This window comes from Homo sapiens, chromosome 7 (genome assembly GCF_000001405.40).
Source record: "Homo sapiens chromosome 7, GRCh38.p14 Primary Assembly".
NCBI classification, from domain to species: Eukaryota; Metazoa; Chordata; class Mammalia; order Primates; family Hominidae; genus Homo; species Homo sapiens.
Window position 1 is genome coordinate 95,552,421 of NC_000007.14, and position 10,521 is coordinate 95,562,941.

The 10,521-nt window shown below is 39.1% G+C and overlaps 1 long non-coding RNA gene across 1 annotated transcript; it reads left to right on the forward strand.

The window, feature by feature from the left end:
• The first annotated feature begins 546 nt into the window (after nucleotides 1-546).
• LOC124901699 (uncharacterized) lies at nucleotides 547-10,025 on the forward strand. Its single transcript, XR_007060438.1, has 3 exons — nucleotides 547-4,547; nucleotides 5,262-5,331; nucleotides 6,533-10,025. It is a non-coding gene; the product is annotated as an uncharacterized LOC124901699 (long non-coding RNA).
• Nucleotides 10,026-10,521: the final 496 nt, after the last annotated feature.

The window sequence follows — 10,521 nt, forward strand, 5'->3', positions numbered from 1 at the left end:
GGGCTGCAGGTGGAGCTGCCTGCCAGTCCTGCATCGTGTGCCCGCTCTCCTCAGCCCTTGGGTGGTCGATGGGACTGGGCGCGGTGGAGCAGGGGACGGCGCTTGTCGGGGAGGCTCCTGCCACACAGGAGCCCATGGAAGGGAGAGGCTCAGGCATGGCGGGCTGCCGGTCCTGAGCCCTGCCCCGCCGGGAGGCAGCTAAGGCCCAGCGAGAAATCCAGCACAGTGCTGGTGGGCCGGCACTGCTGGGGGACCCAGTACACCCTCCGCAGCCGCTGGCCTGGGTGCTAAGCCCCTCATTGTCCCGGGGGGCAGGGTTGGCCGGCCGGCCGCTCCGAGTGTGGGGCCCGCCAAGCCCACACCCACCCGGAACTCCAGCTGGCCCGCAAATGCAGCGCGCAGCCCCGGTTCCCGCTCCCGCCTCTCCCTCCACACCTCCCTGCAAGCTGAGGGAGCCCGCTCCCGCCTTGGCCAGCCCAGAAAAGGGCTCCCACAGTGCAGCGGTGGGCTGAAGGGCTCCTCAAGTGCTGCCAAAGTGGGAGCCCAGGCAGAGGAGGCCCCGAGAGTGAGCGAGGGCTGTGAGGGCTGCCAGCACGCTGTCACCTTTCATTAGGACCTGCTAATTGGTTTCACATGTGTGTGGAACCATCCCAGGACTGGATTCCAATATGAGGAGAGAAATGGGTTATTTCACTGAAAGGTATGACTGAGTTAGACTGAAGAAACTCTTATATGACACTGTACTATGGCTTTAATGAGCATTAGTGTTAGGATGACATTTTGTTTAGAGAGATATTGATGGTAAAAAAGAAAAGGATTTGAACTCCAGTTCACCATTTCCTAAGCATGACCTTGAGCTATTCATTCACTCTATGTAGTCATTTAATAAATATTTATTGAGCCCTATATAGGCCAAGCACTCTGTGAGGTGATGGAAATTCTCCTGCCCTCAAAAAGTAACAGTAATTATTATTTGCAATCTACCTCCCTAAGGCATAACAATGCCTATCTTTCAGAGTTATGTGTAATAGGATTTGTAAGTGGATTTTTTTTTGTCTCATAATTGTCTACTTGGCTCCAAAGTTAGAGACAAATAGGTGAAAATTAGGAGACAAATAGATGATTGGTAAACACCAGTCATTAAGAGGCAAATTCATTCTGCTACTCCGCTTACCACTGTACTCACTAATCTTGAGGGGACTACTGAATTGTAAATCTTCAGCCTCAGAAAGGGTTCTGTGTCTTTTCCTTTTACTCTTTCTCAGTGCCCCTTATGCATAATCCAATGGAGTATTCCAAGGAAAATATTTTTAATGACTGGGGGTTGCCTGCAATAAGTTGAGCCTGAAATCTCATTTTTCAGTTGGATACCTACTCATGTCATGGATCTGTAGTATTCTTTTTGCTTACTCCAGCAGTAGGAAATAATATAGGGACAGAACTCAAGAGAGAGAAAATGAGCAATAGGGCAATGAGGCACACTCCCATTGTCTGGTAGAAAAAAGATGCATGAGTCTTCCATATGTCAAGTAGATACTACAAAGGTACCAGGCTTGAACTATTGTGAAGCAAGTTCATCCTAGACTGTGACTTACTAAGAGAAGAGACCCCAGCAGCAAAAGCCTGTAAGGTGAGTTATGCAGGAAATAAGGAGACTGGAAGAGGTCTACAGGAGTCGATTTCCTATGAAAGGAGGTTGTGCAATGAAGAGACTGCCTGCTACATGGAGGACAGAGGTCACAACAACAACTGGTAAGCAAAACATTTCTGCTGACTTTTGAGAATTCTCTCTTCTTCCTCAACATAGAAAGGGCTCAGAAAATGCAAAAGGGAGGGGAAAGAGTTACGAGTAGCCTCCTCTCACTGCCACTGTGTCCTGGGGAGGAGATGGACATTTGAATTGGACAAGAAACTGAAGTGGATGGCACTGGATTGCCTCTTTTCCACTCTTTTCCAGCCTAAAAAGTTCACAAAATTGGCATTTGCTGGAGAAGCCATGAAGTCTTGGGAAAGGGAGATTCGACAGAGCATGTTACAGCCACAATAGGAGAAAAAAACCTTCTCAGGTTTGAACCCTGCTGAGTTCACAGTTTTCAATAAATTGCTGACAAATGCAAGGTGTTCAGACAAGTAGGTAGTGCTCCACAAATAGTAGATATTATTCTAGTCACCTAGAGAGAATAAATGTTCAGAAAATGTCTACGTATGTTTTGCTATCAAAGAGCGAATAAGATATTCAATTTGTATTTTTGCTTTAGATAAAGCATAATGCCCTTATTATGCCTTCAAGTCTTCATTTCCCCCACGAAGGGACGTTTTTCTGTGTTATTTGACCATATGCCTTTTGCTACGCTGGGCATTTGCCTTCTTTGACCTTTTCTGGACATTCCCACTTTACCCGCCAGGGATTGAGGAGATTACAAAGGTCATCTAATCATCTAGTCTCGTTTCCAATTTGGTTAAGATAAAATATTATTTAATTACTAGAAAAATACTTTGTTATTAAAATCAAAGTGTCTTGTGCTGGTTTGCAAACAAAGTAATTTCTACACGCTTATAACACAAAGAGGAGACCAGATGTGGTGAAGTAGAAGAGAGAGGACACTGGCTTTGGAGCCAGGGGACCCAGAGCGGCTCCCAGTAATGTGATATTTTATGTGTTTTCCAACCCCATGCAGCATCCATTGCCTCACCTGTAAAATAGGGGTTTTGACAAGGACCACATCGAGTTATTGTGAAGAGTAAATAGATGATTATAGAAAACATGTCACACAGTGCTAGGCACATAGATGAAGCTTAAGGAATAGCTGTTGTCCCGTTTCCAAGGTTGCAGAGTCAGAAGACACCCCTAAGAAGACATAAAGTACTGTTGTTCAGAAGGAAGGCATTGGGAAAGTCAAAAGGACACCAGAAATAGTGAACTCAACATTGATTTGCACATTTGACCAAGGTTGGTGGTCATTTACGCAGCAGTATTGAGATGATCCATAGAAAGTCATGATAACACTATTGGAGCAAAGTCACAATATTTGTATTTTCATATGTATCTCATGATGTATATAAGTACTCATTTTAACACCCATTGTTTAAAAACTGTTCAGAATTCAGAAAAATTAAAAAATCATTTAAACTAAATATTACATTATTGACTATAACTTAAATTTCAAAATGTAAACATTAACCATCTATTATAATTTGAATTAGCAGGATAAAAAGCAATACAAAAGTATATAAAATAAAGTAAACATTGCACAAAATGAAGAAAATGAATCCTGAAAATTGAAAATGAATTAAATTGGATTTTCTGGCAAATATGATCTTAAGAACAACGTGTATCAATGGTGTTATCTTCGATGGTGAGCCTCATTTTGGGGCATATTCTTCTAGCCACTGGAAACACTTTCCATAATTTAAAATAGACAGAAAAATAGTGACGAGACAAAAAGCAACTAAGTCCAAATATCTTCCTCTGGAACTTTTATTTACAAATGATTCCATCTTTTTGTGAGAGTATAAAGATGATCTTTTAGAAATTTTTATTTTTATTGTATTAAAGACTACGATGTCTTTATTGACAGCTGTAGTTTTTGTTATTAAGGCCCAGAAGTCAGCTTACTGGATGCCTGGTTCTTAGCTTTTGCTGTGAAATAGCCTTTTTTGAAACAAAACAAATCCATCAGACAGGCAAGAGCTTCTACCACCAAACACTGACTGTTTTAGCTATCAATCTTACCCCATTGGAGGCAGCCTTATATTGAGAGTAAGACGGACTCCTTTTTCCTTATAATTGTCTTTTAAGGAGGTCCTATTTCATTAAATATTCAGGGAAAATTGTTTTTTGTTTGTTTGTTTGTTTGTTTTTTAAAAACCTTCTTTCAGGAAGTAGAACTAGGGTGAATTTAATCTGGGAAAATTTGGGCTACTGTCCCAGTCATCTTTGCTTTCTAGCTCAGAGGCCTTGAGAGATCGTAAGGTCTCTCTTTTAATGCTGGGTTTAACTCTCTGGTAATTCTCAAAGTATAAATAATTCATGTCTCAGGTTTTAAAAATGTTAAAATAATGATATCACACTAACAAAATATTGGCGTTTGGGTACATAAGAGTCTGTAGTATGATCTACTAGAGTTCTAGAATGTTGAACATTGATGGTGCAATTATTAATTAAAATTATCTTGCTCAGAAGGTTTTCCTCCATTAAACTACACTTTTTAGAGTAAGCTCACTTTGGTTTAAGGCACCTGTTCATAGGATGTCCTTAAATATATGAATATTGCCCTGGGAGTTACCCTTTTAGTCATTAATAACTGGGCATAAATCACTTATCTGCCAGGTAATCAAGAACAGGACCCAGAACAAGTGTTTTTCTTTCTTTCTTTCTTTCTTTTTTTCTTAGGCTGGAGCAGTGGAAAGAGAACTATGCACAAGGATGAGGAGAATAATTGTGATTGTGGGACAGGGCCCCAGGAGAGAGGTATAGCAGACTGGCCTTGGAAAGCCTGCAGCTGCATCAGGAAGGCAAAGCATGCTTGGAAAAAATGCTGACTGAAGTAAGGCAGAACCTAGAGGGTGGGTGGATACTCCATAACTGTATTCAAATTGGGCACTCTCTTGTTGTAAAGCCTTTGCGTAAGTGCAACTGAGAAAATATATGGTAGAAAAAAAAGGCTATGTTCTGACCAGCTCGAGGATGGGGGAATATCATGCATAATATGTGCAAACTATGTGAAGAAAAGTACAAGTTAATATGATCACAAAAATATTCAGAAAAACACAGAGTGAAGGAGGTAAGACAAGAGGTAATGAAATAATTAGTGAAGTATGGGCTCCTGTGCAAGGGAATATCTTGAGACAGATTTTTGAAGAGAAGTTAGATGTGGGCTGATGAAGAGGAACTGTCACTCCACATTGAGGGAGTGGTCTCTGCAAAGGTGGTAGCTTAGCTTGGGTTCCTAAGAAAAGAGTCTGAGGTTAATCTTATGAGCACATGCTTTATTGTAGAGTACAAGTCCAGAGAAGCAAGTGTGACAAAAAAGGAAGGATAGGAAACAAAAAGTCATGTTATTGAGCTCTGGTTATAGGAAATTTAAATGGTTACTCAGTTACACTGAACATCTCCAGAGAGATTCATGAATTCACGGCACCTTAGAAAAATTCTTTGGTGGAAAGAAGGGCAAACAATCTATCTACTGGCTTCTTTCCATCTCCTGTTTCTCATGCTTACTTGACCTAACAAAGTGTTAACTTGCACATCTTCCCTCCAGACAGCTGCTGGGTTAGTAACTAACTCCAACTTAGTTACTGGAGCTGCTGCTGTTTCTGCTGTGATGAGAGGTATGGAGGCCATGTCAAAGCCTGGCTTTTTCTCCCCAGGATTTGCAGGGAAGGCTGCAAAAACCAGGGTGAGAGATGCTGAGTCTTCTGAGTTTTATGACCATTGGAATGGCATGAGTCAATCAACCATTGCTGAGCTCCTCTGATCAGGACTCTGGGCAAGCAACAGTCTGGGGCTGAGGGTAGATGAGGCCCAGGAGGATCTGAGGAAATGTCCAAGATAGGTCTGGAAGAGTGAGGAAAATGGATGATGAAAACTTAGCATGTCTAGAAGGAGTGAGGTCTCAACAAATGTGTAACTTAGTGTATGTAGTATTGGAGTGACGTTCTAGGAATGGCCAAAAGCTAGGATTCCATAGGCTGATTTGAATGAATTTGAGATGTGTGCCCATTTTGTTGTGCTTATTATGGCTGATCCTGTAGTTTTAGCAATTCAGTGATCATCTCAACTTTCTTCCTAAACAGCTGAGCCTGGAAAGCTAAAACTAACACTTTTCAGACTTCAATGAAATTACTGTTCTGAATATGATTCAGGTTCTACCAAAGAGATGTATTCATGAGAACTGAATTTAGAACTGAAGGAAGTGGGGAGAGAAGCATGAGCTGTGATGGTAGTAGCTGCTGGGTAAGTGGCCAGCAGCCACTATGGTACTTCCTATCATGGCAGAGACAACTGGTCTCAGAGGTGCCCAGTTGTGTCTTGTGGCTTTGGACATTTCTCCTGGATGCTCAACCTAGAGACTGTTTATCTCTCAAGTGATTTGTAAACCTTTTAATGCTCTGTGAAAAAAAAATTTAATCCCTTTTGCCTAAACCAGCTAGAGTGGATTCTATTCTGAGGAAATGACCATATTTTAAAGGTTTGCTGGAGAAGTCTGGATGGGGGGTGGAGAGAAAGAAATATAAAAATAGAGATAGAAATAGCTAAATGGAGGGTAGAGATATTAATTCCGGCTCTTAGATGGTGGGCAACTCACTACCCACAATTATTAAATCTGATTTTTCCTCTCAGCACACATTCATATAGATACCATGTATGAAGAATACAGGAGAACCCTGAAGGTATCCAAATGAAATTGACTTCCCAGTCATCATTAAACATTTAAAGAACTTCAACAAAACATGCTCCATGTTAAGGACTTTAGCACCTAAAAATAAGGAAAGATGCAGCTTTTGATTTTAAACATTTATTGTTTTCAAGGGAAAGCCTTCTGTATCCCTGCACACTTTAAGCAGGTAAATGTTAGATTGCTGCATCAGCTCCTGGACTCTGCATAACTTCTGATGTCCTTCTGGTAAACCTTGATCCCTTATTGCATCATGTGACCTCCTCTCCCCCAGCTCTAGCTCTGCCTAGCCGGTAAGTAAAAGGTTATTTTCAAGAAGCTGCAGTTAGATAAGTAAATAACAACTTGTACCTAATTTCATATTTTATCTGAAGGTGTGCGGAAGGTAATACACCCAGAAACATTAAATAACTGGTTTACATCTAAACGGTTTTTGACTAAAACCTTAAAGCTAGACCTATCAAAGGGCTCAACAGAATAAAAAGTGTTTCCCTTTGAAGAATTCTGTGTCCTTAGAAGGCATTTAGGTTATGGTAGAAATGGGTTTTCTTTCAATAACTTTAAGAGGAAAAATTACTTAAGACTGGTAACTTAAGACTGACACTATGTGAAAGAAGCAAAGGTGACATTTGAAGTAATCAATTATCAGAGGCTTTTTAATAACATTCCAGTGACCAGTCTTGATGTCTTGATATTTCTCACCAAAAGCAAGGATAGTTATTTGCGGAAATCTCAACCCAAAGTAAACTTATATTGGCTATGCTGAAATAATTTAAAAGATATGAACTGTTTTCTACATCCGTACTATTTTAAGTGTCATCAGCAACATTCATATTACCCAGGAAACTGTTAGAAATTCAGTCTTAGGCCCCACCCTAGACTTACTGAATCAATATCTGCATTTTGACATTGCCAGGTCATTTTTAAGCACATTAGAGTTTCTAATGTCCTGTTCTAGATGCTGTAAAATTATTCATAAGGTCACTTGTTGAAATGATTGCATTCAGCACTTAAATATGTTATGGACAATGTCCATTAAGGATCAGCAAATACTTATTTGTGTCCATATTAGTGATATTATTATATGAGTTTTTAATTTATGTTATATGGGTTATTAATTTAGTCAATGTTTCTTGTTCTAATAAAGGGCTCTGATTTTAAACCATTTTATCCAATGGTTTTCTTGAGCTTCCTAAAGTGGTAAACAGTCTCTGTTTTCTTCTTATATGTTCTTGTAGCTAATTGTTTTAATCATCTTTTTGTTGTTACTTCAGCCTCAGTGATGGGTTACTATTTAAGGATTCTCTAAAAGCCTTCTAATATACCCTCAATGTGGTTCTGGCAGACTCTGTCTACCTGACAGCCATTTCCACATTCTCCTTTGTTTACAGAGCCACAGTTTGGTTGTGTTGTAGTGTTTTTATTCCTAGTCTAAGAAAATCATGATGATCTTATGTTCCTTTGCCATATACTTAATTTTTCATTTTTGTTTATAGCTGAGGGTGATCACATGACTGAGATCTGACCAAAATGGGGTTTAAGTAGAGGCTTATGAGAAAGTCTTTGTTCCATAATAAAACAGACAGGGATGAAAAAGATAGCTTATTGGCTCCTGTGATCCTTTCTTTCAGCCTACACACAGACAGGATGCTTGGTGCTATGACAGCCATCTTGAAGCCATGAAATCATAAAAACAAGGACAAAAAGTCAACTTACTGAGAATGGTAGAGAGGAAGAATAGAAAGACCCAATTCCTAGTGACAGCATTAAGTCACTACTTATGTCCTGAACTCTGTATCCAGAGTTCAGATTTTGTAAAAACAAAGCAAAAAAGAAAACAGAAACAACCCTATCTATTTATGTTATTATTAATTTACTTTGTTATTTGCTGCTGAAAGCGTTCCTAACTGGTATAAATAAGAAGGACTAAAGAACTTACCCTCGTCAGAGATTTACTCTGTAAGTGAGCATGGTTGTTGAATATGTGACCAGTCTAAGTAGTGAGGCAACACAGAGTGGAAGAATATCTGGATTTTGTTATTGGCTCCTGTACTTCTCAGCTGTGTACAAAGCAAACCTTGCTTTACAGGAACTTTGGCTCTCTATTTACAAGGTCAGTGTCAACTCCTAGTGCCTTTTTTTAATTTTTCTGGCAAAAGGGAAATGGGCTAAGTTCTAGGAATTTTCCTTTATGTGAGTATATGAGGTTTTCTAAAACTTTCTAGGGAGTCAAATGTTTTCCTTGCTATTGGTTGCTTCTGATAAATTAGGTTTAATCACAGTATATTCCTAGTAGTAGGTTTTTGATTTTTGAAATGGTGATTTTTCTTTCTCTTTTGGGGATGAAAAAGAAAAATGAAAGCTTAATGATATTTTCTTTCAAAGCAACCGTCTTCTTTTTCAAGATAAACAAAATATTATGCTAAATTGAAACCAATTTTATGAAATTATATTTTAAAAAAGGATTTCAAAAAGCCATATCTAAGTCTTTTGAGGAAAATGGAAACATTATAAGAAAAATAACAAAGCAGCATTTGTAGTATTTTAGGTCTAGTAGACTTAGGTAAAATTTAATGCACGCTTTTCAACCTGGTTGGCTTTAATAGTCCACAGATATCCTGGCTGAATCCACCAAGGTTTTTAACAATTTGAATTTGCTACCAATAGTTCCTTTTTTCTCATCTCACCTTACACTGTCTCCATGTCCTGATGTGCTTCAACTCAGAAGCACTGGAACTCTCTTGATACCAAAGTTGTGTTATGGTGTGTGATAAGGTTGATGATGGTGGGTGTTATGGGTTGAATTGCATCCCCCAAAAAAGATATTGAAGTCCTACCCTCCAGGACCTGTGATTGTCACCTTATTTGGAAATAAGTTCTTTATAGATGATCAAGTTAAGATGAGGTCATTGGGGTGGGCCTTAATCTAATATGACTGGGTTCATATAAGATAGAATAGAAACGGAAGGAAGAGAAGATGGTGTGAATACACAGGGAGAGCACCGTCAACAAGTGAAGGAACTCCTGAGGCTCCTGATGCTAAGAGAGAGAGACATGGAAGACATTCTCCCTCACAGCCCCCAGAAAGAATCAACTTCTCTCATACTTTAATTTTGGACTCCAAACTCTCAGAACAATACAGTTCTGTTGTTTAAGCCACCCAATTTGTGCTTTCTTACAGCAGTCCCTGGAAAGTAATACAGTGGAGGAGGACCCCCATGATTACATTCTGCGAGAGGAGTTCCTAAGCATTGCAGCATGAAAAACAGTGCTTAAAAGCTTAAGCAATATTTTTCAAAATATTGACCTATCTCAGTAGGAACTGAGATAGGCAACAAATCTGACTGACAGAATACATTTCAAACTTTCAAAATTGTGTCTTCCTCTTACTGTGGGTCCTTACCCCTGAACAAAGTTCATCACACCTGGCTTCACGTTGCAGGGTATATTTTTTTGATGCCTGCCTTATCTGGCTTCCAGTCATGCCCTGGAATTTGAGTGTCTCTCAAATGTAAAAATCAAAAAGTATATTGTAAAAATGTCTATACTATGCAAAGTAATATACAGATTCAATGCAATTTCTATCAAGATTCCAATGACATTTTTCACAGAAATAGAAAAAAATCTAAAATTTATATGAAAACATCAAAGACATCAAATAGCCAAAACAATCTTGAACAAAAAGAACAAAGCTGGAAGCATTACACTATTTGATTTCAAAATGTACTGCAAAGCTATAGCAATCAAAACAACATGGTACTGGCACAAAAACAGAAATATGGACCAATGAAATTGAACAGAGAGCCCAGAAATAAATTCACCCATTTACAGTTAACTGATCTTCAACAAAAGTGCCAAGATCATACAACTGAGAAAGGACAGTCTCTTCAATAAATGGTGCTGGAAAAACTTGATATCCACATGCAGAAGAATGAAATTGGACCCTTATTTCATCCCATATACAAAAATCAACATAAAATGGATTAAAGACTTAAATGTAAGACCAGAAACTATAAAACTATTAGAAGAAAACCTAGAGACATTGACATTGGTCTTGGCAAAGATTTTTTGGATATGACCCCAAAAGCACAGGCAGCAAAAGCAAAACTAGACAAATGGAATT